The sequence below is a fragment of the Homo sapiens genome, chromosome 8 (genome assembly GCF_000001405.40).
Source record: "Homo sapiens chromosome 8, GRCh38.p14 Primary Assembly".
Taxonomy (NCBI): Eukaryota; Metazoa; Chordata; class Mammalia; order Primates; family Hominidae; genus Homo; species Homo sapiens.
Window position 1 is genome coordinate 124,009,283 of NC_000008.11, and position 21,032 is coordinate 124,030,314.

The 21,032-nt window shown below is 40.6% G+C and overlaps 1 protein-coding gene and 1 long non-coding RNA gene across 8 annotated transcripts in view; one reads left to right on the forward strand and one right to left on the reverse strand.

The window, feature by feature from the left end:
* Window positions 1-21,032, forward strand: part of FER1L6 (fer-1 like family member 6) — a 268,075-nt gene that overhangs the window by 157,296 nt on the left and 89,747 nt on the right. For all 7 annotated transcript variants that reach the window (XR_928347.3, NM_001039112.2, XM_011517231.3 and 4 more), the window contains 5 exons: window positions 1,312-1,432; window positions 4,149-4,249; window positions 8,346-8,436; window positions 12,268-12,387; window positions 14,162-14,314. Coding sequence is in view for 6 of the 7 variants with exons in the window: in NM_001039112.2 (NP_001034201.2) it covers window positions 1,312-1,432; window positions 4,149-4,249; window positions 8,346-8,436; window positions 12,268-12,387; window positions 14,162-14,314 (586 nt within the window). In the remaining variant the exon portion in view is untranslated. The remainder of the gene's footprint in view (window positions 1-1,311; window positions 1,433-4,148; window positions 4,250-8,345; window positions 8,437-12,267; window positions 12,388-14,161; window positions 14,315-21,032) is intronic.
* The window catches only part of FER1L6-AS1 (FER1L6 antisense RNA 1), a 56,645-nt gene that overhangs the window by 25,145 nt on the left and 10,468 nt on the right, over window positions 1-21,032 (reverse strand). Inside the window, exons 2-4 of the long non-coding RNA NR_040044.1 lie at window positions 6,591-6,760; window positions 5,001-5,192; window positions 4,312-4,428 (exon numbers count right to left, since the gene is read on the reverse strand). This is a non-coding gene — a long non-coding RNA (FER1L6 antisense RNA 1). The remainder of the gene's footprint in view (window positions 1-4,311; window positions 4,429-5,000; window positions 5,193-6,590; window positions 6,761-21,032) is intronic.

The window sequence follows — 21,032 nt, forward strand, 5'->3', positions numbered from 1 at the left end:
TTTTGAAAGGAAAACATTTATTTATTTACTTCCTCTGCAGTTTTCCTGACTGCTACATTTCATAAGAAGGGATTGTTTATGAGGGTCAAGGAGCTGGAGGCCTGGGGAGGAGCTGGTGTTTTTGTTCAAGTTTGAGGGTCCTGGAGCTGGAGCCCAGGGGAGGAGCCGGTGCTGCACTGATGTTGCAGGGTCGTGGAGCTGAAGATCCCAGAGGAGCCGGTGCTGCTATTCTAGCTTGAGTTTTGTAGAGCTGGAGACCCAGGGAGAAGATGGTGCTGCTGTTCTAATTTAAGGATCATGAAACAGAAGAGCCACACAGGAGCTGGTGCTGCTGCTGTTCAGATCTGAGGGTGCTGGAGCTGGAGCCTGGGGGTGGAACTGGTGCTGCCTTTGAAGTCTGAGGGTCATTGATCGGGAGGTCCAGGAAGGAGCTGGTGCTGCTGTTCTAGGGTGAGAGTTGAGGAGCTGCAGACCCAGCGAGGAGCCATGTTGTTGTAGTTCCAGGGTCAGGAAGCTGGAGACCCAGGGAGGAGAGGTCTTGTTCTAGTTTGAGGTTCATGGAGCTGCAGACCCAAGGAGGAGCAATGTTGTTGTAGTTCGAAGGTCAGGTAGCTGGCAACCCGGGCAGGAGAAGTCTTGTTCTAGTTTGAGGGTCGTGGAACTGCAGACCCAGGGAGGAGCAATGTTGTCGTAGTTTGAGGGTCTGCAAGCTGGCGACCCGGGGAGGAGAGGTCTTGTTCTAGTTTGAGGGTCGTGGAACTGCAGACCCAGGCAGCAGCAATGTTGTTGTAATTCGAGGGTCTGGTAGCTGGCAACCCGTGGAGGAGAGGTCTTGTTCTGGTTTTAGGGTCGTGGAGCTGCAGATCCAGGCAGGAGCAATGTCGTTGTAGTTCAAGGGTTCGGAAGCTGGCGAGTCAGGGAGGAGGAGAGGTCTTGTTCTAGTTTGAGGGTCGTGGAGCTGCAGACCGAGGCAGCAAATTAATTACTTAATTAAATTAATTAAATAAAAATAAAGCCATCCTTCTTGAAAAAGGCCTGCCTAAAAAAATCCCGCCCTCTAGTGATCATTTCTAAGCTTTGTTCTGGTTCTGATGGTAGCTGTTAATACCTCTCCATTGTAGCCATCTAACTGTTCATTGTTCATTGCTCACAGGTCCCCAATTATAGATCAAAGATGGTGTTAAAAGTTTGATAGTTTTTTCATCATGCCTCCCGAGTCCTGCCCAGAACGTATAAAACATTAACGTGTGACTGGGGTTGCCTGGAAAACACTGATTACCAGCTAACTTCCAGACCTAATTGTTTTCACAGGAATTACAACTATTTGCCATTTGAGGCTAAGAAGCCCTGTGTCTATTTCATCAGCTCTTGGGGAGACCAGACCTTCAGGCTGCACTGGTCCAACATGCTGGAGAAAATGGCAGACTTCCTGGTAGGTGACTCTGACAGGTGATGGATTAGAGAATTGGGAAGCTGGTGGGGGAAGGGATTTTTAAAATCCACCTAGTAGAGGATGTTGACCTCAGTTCAAACACAAATAAATTGAGGATGCTGCATTTGGAGGGCACGTGGATCCTACTATGCAAATCTAGGGGAATGAGACCTCATTTTGCAAAATCCCTGGACTTGAATCAAACTACCTGAATTCAAATCCCTGCTCTGCTTCTGGCTGTTATAGGATCTAGGTATGGGCTGTTTTTCTAATCTCCAAAGGGCAGGAGTTGACAACTTTCTCACAAAATTGATAGATCCTGGCTTCAACTAATAAAAAATCCTAAGTCCCTGGCATAGTGGACAACTGCCTACAAGATCAGGCCCTGCCTAACCTATAGCCCCATCTTTCCTAAGTTCTTCCTCCCTTACTTTGTTCCAACTACACTGGTGCCCTTTTAATATGTTGAAAAAACCAAGTTCCTTTAAGCTTCGCAGCCACCCACCATGCCTTTTCCTCTGTTACTTTTCCCCTCTCCAGTCTTCTTATAACCCAGCCAAATTCCAGGGCTCAGTTTCAGACTTCCTCAGGGAAGAGTCTGACACCTTCTACCCCCTTATCTTCTTACATAACACCCTGTTTTGTTTTGTTTTGTTTTTGAGAAGGGGTCTTGCTTTGTCACTCAGGCTGGAATGCAGTGGCACAATCACAGCTCACTGCAGCCTTGACCTTCTGGGCTCAAGTAATCCTCCTGCCTCAGCCTCCCATATAGCTGGGACCATGTACTACCACCCCTGGCTAATTTTTAAAATATTTTGTAGAGATAGAGTCTCACTGTGTTGCCCAGGCTGGCCTGGAACTCCTAGGCAACCCTCCCACCTCAGCATCCCAAGAAGTCGGAACTACAGGTGCATGCATGCCACCATGCCTGACTTTTTTTTTTTTTTTTTTGGTAGAGACAAGATGTAACTATGCTACTCAGGCTGGTCTGGAATTCCTGGGCTTAAGCAATCCTCCTGCCTCAGCCCCCAAATTGCTGGGGTGATAGGCATGAGCCATTGTGCCTGGCCAACACCCTGTTATTTTCCTTTGGACCTCTTATCATACTTTACAATATATTTGTGTGTTTATTTGTTCAATAACTATTTGCCACTGTTTCTATAGCATTTAGCATAATACCTGGCACGTGATAGCCACTAAATAATTATTCAGGGAATTGAATGTCTGAAAGTATTTTATACTGTAAACAGTGCCAATCAATATCCAATCAATGCTAGATTTTCCCACCTAAGCCCAAGGAGGGAGAGAAAGCTGGGACCTCTGTTTCTCTGACATCTTGCACCTCCCCTTTATAAATTCTTCTCTCCTACTCCCGTGCTCCCTCTACTCCGTCCCACATGCCTTACCAGATCATCTTTGTCTTGACCCTCCTGTTCCGTTAAAACCTATGCTAAGTCAAGAACAAATTTCTCTGTCCCATTTGCTTTATAATCCTTGTCTCTCAATTTGTAAAACAAAGTATTGTCTCTGACCATGGGGATTCCAGGCAACATGGAGATAAACTCTGAAAGTGGTCAGGAGGCCTAGTCTGGGGTCACAGCACATGGAGGTCACAGACTGTCTTGGTTGAGCTGGTCTTACTTCTCTTCAGACAGAACAGATCGTTTATCTCCAAGAGTCTTGACAAAGCAAATCAGAATTTTTTCCTAGAGGCCATAGTGACATTCATTTCTAATTCCTTTCTCAGTGCTGGCATCCCTGCCATGCTTGGCATATCATGGCTAACCACCATGAGAGACATGACTGAATGTTTACTAACTACCAAGCACTGTTTGAAGATATCCATACCCCCTATAGTGTTGTAGGTGGGTTCTGTTATTATTCCATTCCACAGATAAAGAAATTGGGCATAAATGGATTAATTCACTTGTAAGTGATAGAGCCTGGATTTGAACCAAGGCAATCTGACTCTGGAGCCCAAATCCTTAACTATGCCACAATGTTTCCTATTATAGTGAATGTGTAAAGAGGGGAACATATGTCCCTAGGCACGAGACTTTGGGATATGGTAGAGAATATAGTTTCGTAAATTCTAGCAAAGGAGTAGTAACACATATACTTCCCCTTAGGTGCCATTTTCCTCCAGGCCACTAAATAGAATTCTAGAATTTAGGCCCAAAGGAAAAGTGTGATTATTAAGTATACAAGCATAGGGCCATTGCCATATACAATCTGTCCCATTATCTGGCCCAAAACTCATGCAATCAGAAGAATGGGGAACCCTTTAATTTCAGGGATTATTCAATATGATTATATCCCTATGTAAAAAATTGACTTGAACATTACTTTTGAAGTTTTGGGTAATTATATCTAATTACTCTACATTGTTAGCTATTTCCCACGTTATTAGGTTTCCCCAGAGGGTAGATTCTAAATAAATGGTACCCATTAGGGAATGGATCTATAACAGAAACAATGAGTTTGAACAGTATGGGAGAAGACTTGTATGTGGACCAATTCCACTTACTAAAAGAAAAGTTCAAAGTTAGAATGCAGTAGCATTTTCCAATTCAAGTACAAGAAAACTAGATAAATCCTCCTTCATTGCCAAAACAAAAAAAAAATAGCTGTTATTTCTAGTACATTATAATTAGTATCTCTACTACCAATCTCATTACCACCGCCTCATCTCTCCACCCCTGTGGTTTGTTTTCAGGAAGAAAGTATAGAAGAAGTGAGAGAATTGATCAAGATTTCACAGGAGGCACCTGAAGAGAAAATGAAAACAGTGCTCAGTGACTTCATCAGTCGGAGCAGGTACCGGGAGAGACAGCCGGCATAGGCGGAGCTGAGCTTCTGTGGTCTCAGCTTTTAATTACCTTGAGAAAGTCGTCGATTTCACATGCATTCAAATGGGTGTTTTAGAGTGCTGTATCCATCTTAATTTTGTTCAGTAATTTCACTCGTGCTTGTGGACTAACTATTGCTTCTTGACACTGTAACAACTCAAACATAAATCAAAGGTAGGAAAAAGCAAAGGAAGACTTACTACAGAGACTCTGTAGGAAACAAGAAAAATGCTAGTAGTGTTAGTGTACCAGCATAGTGCTGTGCATGTGGTAGACACTCAGCAACTATTTGACACTTAGATGGGCAGAAGAATAAGCTATTAATATATAAAATACCATAGTAGGGCTGAGGGAAAACATCTCTTCTCTGAAGGCTCACTGAAAATCAACTATTTTCAGTGAAATATACTATTCAGTGAGCCTGAATAGTATATTTGAATATACTATTGTGGGGCTGAGGGAAAACCTTCCCTCCTCTCTCTGAAGGCTCACTGAAAATCAACTGACAAAAAGTAGATTAATAGGAGAAAAGGCATGCAAATGTATTAACGTGCACAGGGGAGAATCACAGAGTGATTACTCAATTACCCAGTGCAGTACAGAAGCTTATATATATCCTTCTTCAGAGGGGACGGGGGAGATGGAGAATGTAGACAGTTCTTTTGAGGGACAGTAAATCACTAGGAAGAATGAATGGACCAGGGAGAAGGGAGGCCGACCTTAGGGAAAGATGAGGGATGAAGCTGCACAGGAACACAGGTTGTCTTATTTTTTATACAAAGTCCCCCAGGTAATCTCTTGGAGCTGTCCTTAGAAGAATAGATGAAAAGTCTTTCTGGGCAGATGATTCCAGTCTCTTCTCTGTTGGTTGGTCTTTCCTGGTTATTTGATGAGATCTCTAGGGAGGGAGTCTTAAGACAATCACATTTAAGCTTTCTTAGTCTGATAGGAAAATTTAAAGAGTCTCTCTTGGTGCTTTGGAAAAGAGGGTCAGAGAGACAGGGAGACATGGAAAAGGTTAGAGAGAAACCCTGGTTCTGAGTCTTATTTCTGAGGCCTTGCAATTTTCAAAGCACTCAGTATTTTGGGGAATTGTTTTCTGTGTCCCAACACTATTTAATGAAATTTTTATACAACATATTGAGTACCAATTAGTAACCCTTATTCTAGAGGGCAGACAATATAAAAAAAGATAAAAAATAGGGTACATAGTTATCTTTTACTGAGAAACAAATTTCCCCAAAACTCAGTGGCTTAACATCATAGTTATTATCTCACTGTTTCTGTGGGTCAGGGGTCCAGGTGTGGCTCAGCTGAGTCCTTTGGGTCAGAGTCTCTCCCTGGCTGCAGTCATATCAAGGTTCCAATGGGATGGATTCACTTCCAAGATCACTCACGTGGTTATTTGCAGAATTCAGTTTTTCATGGGCCATTGGGCTGAGGACTTCAATTTCTCACTAGCTGTTGGTTGGAGGCCACCCTCAATGCCTTGCCACGTGAGCCTCTCTAAGCTGCCTCTCATGACAGAGCAGCTGGCTTCATTAGAGCCAGCAAGCACAAAGAGTCAGAACATCCTAGCAAGACAGAAGTCAGAGTCTCCCATGCCTAGTCTTGGAAGTGACAGCCCATCACTCTTGACGGTTCTGTTAGAAGCAAGTCACTAGGCCCAGCCCACCTTCAAAGGGAGGGGATTACACAGTGGCATGAATTGCAGGAGGTAGGACTCACTGGAGCCATCTTAGAGGCTGCTGACCCTTTAAGGAAACAACTTGGACTAACCCTTGAAATTAAGTAGTTTAAGATTTGAGCAAATATGAGAACTTGTCATAATGGAACTAATGGAAAAGGAGTGGAAATTCATCTGATGAGAGGCAGGGAGTAGCTGAATTCTGGTGTTCAGGTTTTTAAGTTCTGCCTCCCCAGTCTCTCAACTACTCTACAATTTTTACTTCACAAAAAAAGTAAAGAAAAGAAATAGTTTTTGTTTCTTGTTTTTCATTATAAAAGCTATATATATATATATATATATATATATATATATATATATATATATTACTCCTGCTGTGAGCTGTTTAGTGCCACCTGCAATTCCCTTTAAGCATTTTTAAAAGCTTCACAATCCACACTTTTAGAAACTGTTTATGAGCAAATTAAAAGCTCAATAACTTCTCTATGTTAGGGGATTACTTGGGATGATAGCTAATCATTCCCCCTTTTTCAAGTTTACAACCAACTGAAAAAAATATTAGGATAAGACAGAGATAAAAATGTTAGTTTTATATCTGGAAAAGTTAGGTTTGAGAAAGCACCTTGGACCCGAGGTCAAGGCAAGCTTCCTGTTCCCCCAAACTGTTCATGGCCAAGCAGCTCAACAGGGCTTCTCCCTCCATCTCACCCTTGCCCCTCACCAGGAGAGGGCACTTGCCATGTGACATGTGAAGGTAAGGGAGGATGTCCATAGCCAGCAGACAGGTTGGGTCTGAAAGATGAAGAATGAACAGAAACATGTGCTATGGTCATTTACCCCAATGTTAACGAGGAAACAAATTATTTCTCCCTGTGGGGAAAGGAAAGGGATCAGAAGTGATTATGTCTACCTGCACTGATCCATTCTGGAGAGTGAAATGGAATTCCTTCTGCCACAAGAAAAGGCAGGAATGGGGCAACAAGATTCCCTCCTCAAAATATAATCCTTTTTATTCTTTTTAAAAAATTTAAAGAAAATGTAACATTACTAGTGTGTCCAAGGAGGATTTCTGGTGAGACTTTCAACTGCCAGTGGGTAGAGCCTGGTATGGGACCTTGGGCTGGGTGGTGTGGCATCTTAGACTTTCCTTTTTGTTTCCTTTATAATTGATTTTTTTCATCAGAAGTGCTCATCACTGAAATGATCATGCTCATCATTAAAAAAAAATAAATATACCAAGTAGGAAATTTCTTCTCAATTCTCTCTCCAAACCTACTCTCCAGTGAGAAGAGTTTGATTTGTCCTCCTGGACTTTTTTCTGTGCATTTGGGAACATACACCCTCATGTCCACACTCATACCATATTCCTTCACAAATGATATCACACATTTGCTCAGCAGGTTGCCTTTTCATTCAGCAAAATATCACAGGCATCTTTCTACAGGTGCACATAATAGATATCCTGAATATTCAATTGCATGTATGTGTCATGATATATTTAACTAGTCCCTAATGACATTTAAGTTGTTCCCACTTATTTTGCTACTATGAACAGTGCTACAATACATATGATTATGTAAACATAATCTTGTCAAATTGTTCAATTATTTTTGAAGGGTAAGAATTCTAGTGTAATTTAGTTTAATTTTGAATCAAATTTAAATTTTGATAGGTGCTATCAAATAGCCTCTAAAACACTAAGAATTTACACCCACCTTCCATAGAGTAGAAGAGTGACTATCTCCCAACATCTTCACCAACTTTGAATATTATTCATTTTTATAGGTAAAATGTTATTAATTTTAATTTGCATTTAAGTTATCACTAGTGAGGGCAATATCTTATTTCCCCAAGCGTTTAGTCCATTTACATTTTTCTTCTTGAATGGCATTCACAATCTTTACTATTTTCCTATTTAACACATTTTTAACTTTACCTCCAAAAAATGTTACTACTCAGTCTTTCCTATTGTTTTTAAATGGTGGGGACACATCTAGGTATTGAATCTAAAATATTTGTTTTACATACAACTTTTCAGCAAACTTTTGGTGTGTGTTAAATTTGTAAGATGAAGGAAAACAGTATTTTGTGGGTTTTGTTATGAATTTTTATAGCAATCACAATGGATTGTACTGAAAGAAAGTGGAAAAAAAAATCTGTTCCCCAAAACTAATGTTGGGTCTGGGCATCATTTCCAGTTATCATTTTGTCTCTTGGAAAAGTTAATACATAGTTGCTTAATCCTAAATTAAAAATATTGGTTTTATGGCTTCAAAAGCTTTCCACTGTATTGCAGAAACAATATTTGCAAACCTCTGGAATTATATAAATGGATTTTCACTAAGTAGGTTTCAAAATTGTTATTCTTTTCTTATAGTGCCTTTATCTCTGAAGCAGAAAAAAAGCCCAAGATGTTGAACCAAACCACTTTAGATAAGAAGCGACTTACGCTCTGCTGGCAGGAGCTGGTATGTGAAAATCTATTTATACTTTGTGGACAGAGTTAAAAATAAACCTCACGGATGAGGCATAGGTCACAGACCAAATGAGGTTGAGGTTTAAAGGTCATACATTTTTGGGATGCAGAGACAAGAGTGAAAAGGGACTATTTGTTAAGTTGGAAAGAAATGAACATTTATTGAAGGTTTATAAGGATGAACTAGAAGCCCACTGGTCCTACTTCCTACTCTGATGGAGAATAGGTGACCTCTTGCTCATTTTCTTGACCTTCATATTTTGTTAAAGGCGGTAGACTCGCTTGGCCCTCTGACTCACAAGTCAAGAGATCAAAAGAAATAACTATGCTCCTTGACTTCAGGTTCCTCCTATTGAGAATTGTGTTAAAATTTAAAAGCGCTTCTTGAGAGCAGGTCAGTAGTTGTTACCCCTCTGTGTCCTGGGAACCTGCATGTGCTAGGTGCCTAACAGTTGCTCAGTTCTTCTTCAGTGACTGGTGACTAGAATTGCCAGACCAAGTCAGGCCCTGGATTATCTCAATTGAAAATGTCAGTGCCAGCAAGGGCACCAAGGGACATTTCATGTGAGGCCAGGATAATTCTGCAAAGAAAAATTACTCAGTGCTTGACTTCTCAGGGACATTTTAAAGTATGAGTGGGACTCAGAGATATTAAATGACTTTTTCTAAAGATCACAGCTAGTTAACTGTAATCCAAAAACTAAAACCCAGGTCTCCTAACTCCTCATCCATCCTTCGTCCCAGAATGCTTCTTTTCTGTCCTCTGGAACATTTCAGGGAGGCTAGATTCCCACCATCAATAAGACCTTCTTCCTATGCTGGCTTTTCTCAGCACCTCTGGCTGAAGTGCTATCTCTGCAGCTTCCCTCTACTCCATGTTTTCTGCAGAGTTCTGTCTTCACATTGTCTGACAGCCCTTGGCCTGATTATTTCAATATCTTTTTTTAGTGGCCTAGGTCTCCCTCCTCATCTCTAGACCTGCATTTCCAGCCTCCTAATGGGCATCTCCATGCTTATCTCACATCACTCCAAACTCTGAGCCCATCACCTTATCTCAACTTGTTCCACATCCTGCATTGGCACTGCCAGCTAGACTTACTGCTCAAACAAGAAGGCTAAGTTTCAACATTGGCTCTTTATCTCTCACCTTAAGTAGCCATTTGAATACTAGGTCCTGCAGATTCTGCCTCTTAATGACTCTGGAACGAACTCCACTTCTTCATCTTCAGAGTCACTGTCTAAACTGAGTTTCTTAGCACCTCTGTTCTAGAGTATGGCAAAAGTCTTCCTCTAATCCATCTTCTGTATTACAACCAGCATGGTCTTTCTAAAACACAAGCCTGATTAGATCATTATTGTTTAAAAAAATCACTGGGTTATCTCAATCATTCATAGGATAAAATCTAAATCCCTTTTGCATGATACATTGGGCTATTTACTATCTGGTCCCAACCTAGCATCCCAACCTTATCCGTCTTTAGTTCGTTCCTATGTATCTATGCTCTGACAATTTTGAATCCTTGATGATTATGTATATTCATATGTAACTCTTCCCTCTGTCTTCTTACTCTCTGATGAATTCTATTCACATTTTAAAATTCAGCTCAAATGTCATATTCTCCAGGTAACCAGCTTTGCCCCTGTCTAGCACCACAGTGCTTCATACATTTTAATTATGTGCATGTATTGTTTTCACCTCACCATGTATTGTTTTCACCTCGCCAAACTGTCAATGTCTCAGGAAAATAAAGCATTATTTCTTCTCCCTGTCCCAGACCTGGGCTCCAAGCATAGTGCCTGGTGTATAACATTAGCAGAGGCTTCCTATGTGCCACACACTCCTCTAGATGCTGGGAACAAAGCTAGAAGAACGTAGTGCTTGTCCTTGAGGAATTTCTAGATTGAGTAGTTCATTCATTCCATAAACATTTATTTAACACCTATGTGCCAGGAGCTCTGTTAGACACTGAGCATACAATAAGGACAAGACAGAGGAGGTCCTTGTCCTACTGAAGTTTACACATTAATGATTAAGACAGAAGATAGATAGGTAAACAGAAAATACATAAAAATTATTACAGATTGTGATTCAAAAGGAAATTCTAAGAAGCCACTGGGATCAGGAAAACATGGGGGAATGTAATACAGTGGTGACATTTAAGTTGAGGCCTGAAAGATGAGAAGAAACCAGCCATGTAGAGTCTAGGAAGAACATTTGAGCAAGAGGAAACACCAGGCATACCAGCTAATATGGTTTGGCTGTGTCCCCACCCAAATCTCATCTTGAGCTCTCACGTGTTGTGGGAGGGATCTGCTGGGAGGTAATTGAATCATGGGGGCAGGTCTTCCCATGCTGTTTTCATGATAGTGAATAAGTCTCATCAGATCTGATGGTTTATAAAGGGTAGTTTCCCTGCACAAGCTCTGTTTATTTGCCTGCTGCCATCCATGTAAGACGTGACTTGCTCCTCCTTGCCTTCCCCATGATTCTCCCCATGAGTCCTCCCCAGCCATGTAGAACTGTGAGTTCTCCATTAAACCTCTTTCCTTTATAAATTACCCAGTCTTGGATATGTCTTTATTAGCAGCACGAGAACAGACTAATACACCGGCTTTAGGATGGACAAAGTTTGTCAAGTTCTAGGGCTTCTGAGGACCAGTGTGCCTGAGGCACAGTGAGTGAGGAAGGAATATTATAAGATGAAGCAGACAGTGGCAGGGCCAATGCACACAGGGCCTTAGAAGTCACTGTAAATATTTTTTTTTCCTAAGCACATAAATGTGAGCTGAACAAATGAATCAAAATAAACACTTTTGGGTTTTCCAACCACTTATACTGAGCTTTCTGGCAGCATTTCTCATACGATGTCTTCTTGGTCTGAAAGCAGCAACCATACCTCTGGGAAGAGGTGGTGAGTGCAGTGGTTAAGCATGTAGACTCTGGATGCAGCTGGGGGTCAGCTCTGGCTCTGCCATTCAGTAGCTGCGTTACTGCTTCCTCAGCTGTAAAATGGGAAAAATAGAACCTACCTCATAAGGCTGTTATGAGGAGTAACAAAGGATTAATACAGTGGTTAGAATGTTGCCTGGCACAGAGGAACAGCTCAGTACACCTTAAGCTGCTATTATCATAGCAGTTGTTGTTAAATATCAGAAAGCCTGTGTGTTAGTCTGTTCTCACACTGCTAATAAAGACATACCCAAGACTGGGTAATTATAAAGGAAAGAGGTTTAATTGACGCACAGTTCCACATGGCTAAGAGGCCATGGTGGCCTCCAGTCATGGTGGAAGGCAAGGAGGAGCAAGTCACATCTTACATGGTGGCAGGCAAGAGAAGTGCCAAGCAAAAGGGGGAAAAGCTTCTTATAAAACTATCAGATCTCATGAGAACCTTACTCACTATCACGAGAACAAAATAAGGGTAAACGCCTCCATGATTAAATTACCTCCCACTGGGTCCCTCCTATGATATGTGGGGATCATGGGAATTACAGTTCAAGATGAAATTTGGGTGGGACACAGCCAAACCATGTCAGCTTGGATTCAGGTGCTGGTTAATAAGCCATGTGACCTTGATAAACCTGTAGCCTTTCTGGGCTTCAGCTTCTCATCTGTCAAGCAGAGGTGAGATGATATTACAGCCTCCATAATCCTGTGAAATTTCCACCAAGGAGGCAGCATGCACGGTGGCAGACCCTGGAACAGTCCACGTGAGTGACTCAGTGTGGAGCTCACCAGGACCTTCAGGTCTCTTCAGCAACAGGACGCTGCTTGTTGTCCAGATCTCTCGAAAGACCCACACTGACTCTTGTCTTGTTTTAGGAAGCAATGTGCAAGGAGGCCAAGGGGATCATTCAGCAGCAGAAGAAAAAGTTATCTGTTGATGAAATGATTCACGAAGCCCAAAACTTTGTGGAAAAAATCCGCTTTCTTGTTGATGAGGTAACTGACTCTAAAGGCAAACCTCATTTGGAAGGTTAGATGGAATGTCTTCCAGGGAGGTTTGAATGGTTGGTACGGGTGAAATATGAATCAATGTTTTTCTCCCCAGCCCTAGTGGGCTACGCAGGCACTCCTAGTTTAGAGAAGAGATTTTTAAATTAAACCAAACAAGTACAGCTTTATTCATTTTTTTTTCACAAAGCCTGAACATTCAGCAAAATAAAAGGCACATTCGCTAATGGGCTCAAGTGAAGTCAACGTAAGCCCAGGAACTTTGATAGGTTTTCAACTATAAAAGGATTTAAATTCGTGCCCAGTAAAGGGCATGGCAGCTTCTGATTTTAAAGTTAGTTGTAAACGGTGTCTTCTGGTGACTTCTAGAATGACCTGTTTAAAAACGGCCCTCATATTTGCATCTGTCAGATACTGACACTCGTTCTTGAAGCTTGCAAATGTGTAGAAACTTCTAAAACAGGGTTTGATGTGGGAAGATTTCAGGAAGCGAGATTTACTGCTTCTGTTTTTCTTGAAAGTTGTAGTTCTTGTTGCAAATCAGTCATTCCCTGGAGGCATATTACTCGGTGAGACAGGCAGTCAGTAGACATAGGAATTTGAATAAGCACTCAGAAGAGAGAAGGGATGTCCTCTTTGGGGATTAGTTTTACCTGATCACTAGGGATTGGAAAGACAGAGCATCTGCTTCCAGTCCAGGAATGTCAAACCCTTGTTTAAAACAATATACTTCCTTTTTGTTTTGAGAGTTTTGTTTGTTCAGAAATGTGAATTTCAAACACCCATAACATAATGGGCCACTTGGCATGGAATTCTACTCTTCCTATCTTAATTAATTCGACTTTAAATTCTAATTTCCTGTGCAATTTAGCTGAGTTCCTGCTGAATAACCACTTAAAATGGAACTAAAATATCTTGCAATCATATTATAGGTACACAGTTCCTTGTAGAAATACTTGCCTAAGAGCAAGTGTAAGGAAAGTCATTCAAAGACATTCATAGATTTTTGTTTTTGTTGTTTCATTTGAATATTCTGGAAATGTTATCTGACTCTGAGCAGTGCTTAAAACTAAATCATTATTACAAGATTGGAAAAAAAATCCATGGGAAGTTGTGCAAAAGTGTTTGTCCTGCAGATGAGAAAAGTAGGCTACCAAAGATGCCAAATCACAGATCCAGCTTGCATGTTCTCATATGAGCAATTTGGCATGTGGGTTTGTAGGCACTTTATTTATTTATTTTTTTTTTTGAGATGGAGTCTTGCTCTGTCTCCCAGGCTGGAGTGCAGTGGCATGATCTCGGCTCACTGCAACCTCCTCCGCCTCCTGGGTTCAAGCGATTCTTCTGCCTCAGCCTCCTGAGTAGCTGAAACTATAGGCAAGTGTCACTACGCCCAGCTAATTTTTGTATTTTTTAGTAGAGATGTGGTTTCACCATACTGGCCAGGATGATCTCGAACTCCTGACCTCATGATCCACGTGCCTTGGCCTCCCAAAGTGCTGGGATTACAGGCATGAGCCACTGCCGCCCAGCTGTATGCACTTTTAACTCATGACCTAAGTAAGGCTTTCTCTTCTCTAGGAAACTGCACTTAATTTGCTTGATGGCATAGATGTTTCAGTGCCTAGATGGTGTCAGTCACAGCATTTGTTTTGTCGAAGAGGGAATATTTCAGGATAGCAGAACTCTGCAAGTGCCTTTGTTCAATGCCAACCTTTCAAATCCCATTCCTATTCAATCCCAACTCCCTCTATTCCCACAGCCCCAGCACACTATCCCTGACGTTTTCATCTGGATGCTCAGCAACAACAGGAGAGTGGCCTATGCCCGCATCGCCTCCAAAGACCTCCTCTATTCCCCTGTCGCGGGGCAGATGGGCAAACACTGCGGCAAGATCAAAACTCACTTCCTCAAAGTAAGTGTGCAGTATTTTAACTAAAAGAAGGGAGATTTCTGTTTCTCTAGGGTGGCTCAGACTTTCTAGTGTGTGTCCATGGCTCTGACCATTCCCCAGTGCTTTCAAAGGTAGGAGGACAACTAGAACACCTTGGTGCCTCTTGGTTCAAATTGCAATTCAGTAGACCACCTTTAGGTGGAATTTTTTCAGTTTTTTTAACTGTTACATCACCAGACACACATAAGTTTCTTTTTTTAATCTAATGGGTTACTTTAATTTTTACCTCTTTGATTACTAGTATTAATAACAATGAACCTTAAGGTTTTTTTTTTTTTTGAGACAGTGTCTTGCACTGTCGCCCGGGCTGGAGTGCAGTGGCGTGACCTCGGCTCACTGCAACCTCCGCCTCCCGGATTCAAGTGATTCTCCTGCCTCAGCCTCCCAAGTAGCTGGGATTACAGATGCCCACCACCATGCCTAGCTAATTTTTTGTATTTTTAGTAGAGATGGGGTTTCACTATGTTGGCCAGGCTGGTCTCCAACTCCTGACCTTGTGATCTGCCTGCCTCGGCCTCCCAAAGTGCTGGGATTACAAGCGTGAGCCACCGTACTTGGCCATTTTTTTTTTTTTTTATTTCAGTAGCTTTAGGGTTACAAGTGGTTTGTGATTACATGGATAAGTTGAATAGTGGTGAAATCCAGAATTTCAGTGTAACTGTCACCTGAGTAGTGTACAATGTATGAATAGGTAGTTTTTTGTCCCTCATCCCCATCCCACCCTCCCCCTTTCTGAGTTTTCAGTGTCCTTTATACCACTCTGTATGACTTTTCATACCCATAGCTTAGTTCCTGCTTATAAGTGAGAACATACAGTATTTGGTTTTCCATTCTTGAGTTACTTCACTTAGAATAAGTAATGGCCTCCAGCTCAATTCAAGTTGCTGCAAAAGACATTATTTCATTCTTTTTATGACTGAGTCATATTTCATGGTGTATATATATCACATTTTCTTAATCCAGTCATCAGGCAATGGACACTTATGTTGTTGATTCCATATCTTTGCAATTTTGAATTGTGCTACAATAAACATATACGTGCTGGTGTCTTTTTGATCTTTTTCTTTGGGTAGATACCCAATAGTGGGTAGTGGGATTGCTGGGTTGAATGGTAGATCTATTTTTAGTTCTTTGAGAAATCTCCATACTGTTTTCCGTAGAGGTTGTGCTAATTTACAGTCCCATCAGCAGTATAAAAGCATTCCTTTTTAGCTGCATCCATGCCAACATCTATTGTTTTTTGACTTTTTAATAATGGCCATTCTAGCTGGGGTAAGGTGGTATCTCAATCATTGTTTTAATTTGCATTTCCTTGATGATTAGTGATGCTGAGCATTTTTTTCATGTTTGTTGGCCATTTGTATATTTTTTCTGGGAGGTGTCTATTCATGTCTTTTATGCAGTTTTTAATGGAATTATTTTTTTATGTTGATTTGTTTGAGTTCCTTGTAGATTCTGGATATTAGTCCTTTATGGAATGCATAATTTGCAAATCTTTTCTCCCATTCTCTAGGTTTCTGTTTACTCTGATGATTCTTTGGCTGTGCAGAAGCTTTTTAGTTTAATTAGGTACAATTTATTTTTTTGTTGCATTTGTTTTTGGTGTCTTAGTCATAAATTCTTTGCCAGAAGAGTTTTTTTCTAGGTTTTCTTCCAGAGTTTTTATGGTTTCAGGTCTCAGATTTAAGTCTTTAATCCATCTTGAGTTAATTTTTTTGTATATGGTGAGAAATAGAGATCCAGGTTCATTCTTCTACATGTGGCTATCTCATTTTCCCAGTACCATTTATTGATAAGGCATCCTTTCTCCAATTTGTGTTTTTGTATAGTTTGCTGAAGATCAGTTGGTTATAAATATTTGACTTCATTTCTAGGTTCTCTATTCTATTCCACTGGCCTATATATCTACTTTTATAGCAGTACCATGTTGTTTTGGTGACTATAGCCTTGTATAATTTGAAGTCAGGTAATGTGATGCCTCTAGATTTGTTCTTTTTCTTTAGGATTGCTTTGGCAATTTGGGCTCTTTTTTGGCTCCATATGAATTTTAGGATAGTTTTTTCTAATTCTGTAAAAAATGACGTTGGTATTTTGATAGGAAGGGCATTGAATCTGTTGATTGTTTGGGGCAGTATGCTTATTTTCATGATATTGATTCTTCCAATCCATGAGCATGGGAGGTATTTGCATTTGTTTGTGTCATCTATGATTCTTAGAATGAACATTTTTCTATCAGTTTCCTCATTACCTTTTCACTTGTGTAATTTGTCCATGGCATCTTCTCACATGAGTTAATCTGTATTTTAAAATAGCTTCAAAGAAAATTAGAAGAAGGACAGAACAGCTAGTTCAGGATTCCTTGTGACTTTAAATTGTAAAAATATAAAATTTTCAACTGGGGGGTCCTGCACCCTTCATCAAGACAGAGTCCCCAGATGCCTTCTGGGTGGGCCCTTATAGACATGTATCTCTGGACAGATTCTACTGTCTCTAACTCAAGATTTGAGCTTTGCTTGGAGGCCCTGGGTATTTTACCTCCACTACAAATACATTTTTATTCCAGTGAGTAGAAATGAATGAATAAGAGAAAAATGTGTCCAAAGCCTTTACCCCCACCAGCAACTGACTAGAGTACAAGTTGACTGATTAACTTTTCCTAACTCATAGCTGACTGTCCTCCCAATATCAGTTCTGGTTTCTTGCTATAAAATAATTATTCCTTTACTAACTCAGGGAGGGTGAAAAGGCTCAAAATCATGCCATAGAGGAACAGGTAAAGAGATAGCAGTTCTTAGCTGAGGAGATTTGACAGCATGAGAATGTAGTTTCAGTGTTTGTGGGGCAGTATATAGACGGAGGGGAGGTATAGGAGAGAGAGAGATCCAGCAGGTAAAATCAGGCCCTACAAAGACATTACAGGGAAATAGTTTCCTAAATGGAAGTCCATAATGCATTCCTCATCCTTAGAGGTGTTAACACACCCTGGGCAACTATTTGATACAAACATGGCAGCAGGTAGCTAAATTAAATAGCCTCTAAATGCTGTCTAACCTCAAGAGTTTACTATAGATGTGATTTTTTTTTTTAAATGTTGCAGACAGAAGGGCCCTATTATTAAGCATGAGAAGCAGTGTGGGATAATGGTTTAAAGCATGGACTTTGAAATAAGGTGAATTTGGGCTGGAATTTGTATTAGATCACTAGGGCTACTGTAACAAAGTAGCATAAACTGACTGGCTTAAACAACAGAGATATATTATCTCATGGTTCTGAAGGTTAGAAGTCCTAGGTCAAGGTGTTGGCAGGGCCATGTTCCCTTGAAGGTATTAGGGAAGAGCATGTTCCAGGCCTCTCTTCTAGCTTCTGGTTGGTTCCATGGCTTTTACTAGAATGGCGCCAATCTCCATATGACATTCTTCCTCTGTGTCTGTCCCTTCATATGATATTATTTTTGTGACTCCAGTCATATGGGATTAGGGACCTACCCTACTCCAGTACAATGTCATTTTAACTTAACTAATTATATCTGCATTGACCCTATTTCCAAATAAGGTCATATTTTGGGTGTTGGGGATTAGAACTTCAACATAAAAATTTTGTGGGACCACAATTCAACCCATAACAGAATTCCAGGGCCAATATATACTAGTTGTATGACCTTGGGCAATTTAACATTCTTCAACTTTCAAATGGATAAAGAATGTTCATCCTATTTTTCATTCATTAAATGGAGATCATGGTGAGGAAAAAGTGAATAAATGCAAGTAAAGAACATGTAGTTGTGCCTCACAGAGTAATCACTCAATAAATGCTGGCATTTGAACAACTAGACATCCACATTCCCAGAGGACATTGCTGTAATTTTGTCCCCCTCATATCCAGCGAGTTGTCTGAGGCTCTCCGTGTTATTTTCTGTCATGTATGTAAAATGATTTTGTTTTAGAGACAGCACCTTATTCTATTGCCAAGTCTGGAGTGCAGTGATAAAATCACAGCTCACTGTAGCCTTGAACTCCTAGGCTCAAGCAATCCTCCCACCTTAGCCTCCTGAATAGCTAGGTCGACAGGCATGTGCCACCACATCTGGCTAATTTTTATTTCTCATAGAGATGTGATCTTACTATGTAACCCAGGCTTATCTCAAACTCCTGGCCTCAAGTGATTCCTCTGCCTTCCTTGGCCTCCCAAAGCACTGAGATTACAGACGAGAGCCATTGTGCCTGGCCTAAAATGGCTTTTAAACCCACTCCAGTAAAACTATAACTGAAAAACAAAGTTTTTCACCCAAGTCATTCACCACAATTATCAAGAATTTTCTTTAACTTTCTCCATTCAAAGAATGCTAAGGAGGCAAGAAATATTTATATTAAAAATAGCAAAACACTTCAGAAGGCCCTGTGCTAAAAATACTAGAAAGGTGGTATAAAGTTACTCACTTCTAAATATTTTGATGTATCCTGGCACTATTTAAAATTAGAACAAAGAACAGCTGTCAAATAAAGTCAGAGGTTAGAAGAGTTGAGAATGCAGAACTTTTGCCCTGGAGCATTCATCATCTGAATATTATCTTCATCTGTAAGCCTTAGCTTATTTCTTTATTTGTATTTTCCTTTTGCCATTGGAATTGCTCTGGGCAGTAGCTTTCTGGATCTTGTTGAATCCAGTTATATAAACTTGATAAAATATCTTGATAAGATGATTCAGCGAGACCATTTTCATTCCTGTTTTGATTTTCACTCCTGACTTTAAGTCCCCTCTCACCCACCATCTCTCTTTATGCCCCTTTCTCTTCACTGAATGAGCAAGATCAGAAAAAGCAAAGGCTGCACCAGGGACACTGAGTATTCCCTCATCTGCCACTCACTCCAGTTTTTTAGCTGGGAAATAGGAAGTGAAGGTGGGCGGGGGTGGGGAGGGGAACATAGAATGTAAATCTCTAAACTCTCTAAGCTAAAGTTTCCTCAAGCTTTATTCTGTAGAGCTGCTGTTCTTTGAGTGGCTCTGTAAATGTTCCATGTTCAAATGCTTTTAAGAAGTTGCAGTTGTAACCTTGGAAACTCTTGCAGTGTCACAGTGCCCATTAACCAGTGGAAGGTTCCAAGAAGTCCTGCAGTTGGGAAACAGCTTTAACTTTTTTATATTTTATTATTTTACTTTAAGTTCCGGGATACATGTGCACAATGTGCAGGTTTGTTACATAGGTTAACGTGTGCCATGGTGGTTTGCTGCACCTATCAACCTGTCATCTAGGTTTTAAGCCTTGCATGTATTAGGTATTTGTCCTAATGGTCTCCCTCCCCTTGTCCCCCATCCCCTGACAGGCCCCGGTGTGTGATGTTCCTGTCCATGTGTTCTCATTGTTCAACTCCCACTTATGAATGAGAACATGCAGTGTTTGGTTTTCTGTTCCTGTGTTAGTTTGCTGAGAATGGTGGCTTCCAGCTTCATCCATGCTCCTGCAAAGGACATGATCTCATTCTTTTTTATGGCTGCATAGTATTCCATGGAGTGTATGTGCCATGTTTTCTTTATCCAGTCTATCATCGATGGGCATTTGGGTTGGTTCTGTGTCTTTGCTATTGTGAACAGTGCTGCAGTAAACATACGTGTGCATGTGTCTTTATAGTAGAATGATTTATAATCCTTTGGGTATATAGAGAGTAGTGGGATTGCTGGATCAAATGGTATTTCTGGTTCTAGATCCTTGAGGAATCGCCACACTGTCTTCCACAGTGGTTGAACTAATTTACACTTCCACCAACAGTGTTCCTATTTCTCCATAGCCTTGCCAGCATCTGTTGTTTCTTGACTTTTTTATAATTGCCTTTCTGACTGGTGTGAGATGGTATCTCACTGTGGTTTTGATTTGCATTTCTCTAAAGATCAGTGATGTTGAGTTTTTTCATGTTTGTTGGCTGTATAAATGTCTTCTTTTGAGAAGTGTCTATTTATGTCATTTGCCCTCCTTTTAATGGGGTTGTTTTTTTCTTGTAAATTTGTTTAAGTTCTTTGTAAATTCTGGATATTAGACCTTTGTCAGATGGGTAGAATGCAAAAATTTTATCCCATTCTGTAGATTGCCTGTTTGCTCTGATGAGAGTTTCTTTTGCTTTGAAGAAGCTCTTTAGTTTAATTAGATCTCATTTGTCAATTTCTGCTTTTGTTGCAGTTGCTTTTTGCATTTTCATCATAAAATATTTGCTCATGCCTATGTCCTGAATGGTATTGCCTAGGTTTTCTTCTAGGATTTTTATGGTTTTGGGTTTTACATTTAAGTCTTTAATCCATCTTGAGTTAATTTTTGTATAAGGTTTAAGGAAGGAGTCCAGTTTCAGTTTTTGGCATATGGCTAGCCAGTTTTCCCAGCACCATTTATTAAATAGGGAATTATTTCCCCATTGCTCGTTTGTGTCAGGTTTGTCAAAGATCAGATGGTTGTAGATGTGTGGTGTTATTTCTGAGGTCTCTATTCTGTTCCATTGGTCTATATGTCTGTTTTGGTACCAGTACCATGTGAAACATCTTTAACTTTTTAAGCCCACATTTGTCAAGCTTATGCATCCAGAATGGCTATTTGTAAGTTTTAGGAAACTTCTCTTCCTGGAAACTATTAATACAGAGGAAACAAAGTGCCTCATCTGTAGTCACACGGCTAAGTAATGATTGATCAGTAACAGCA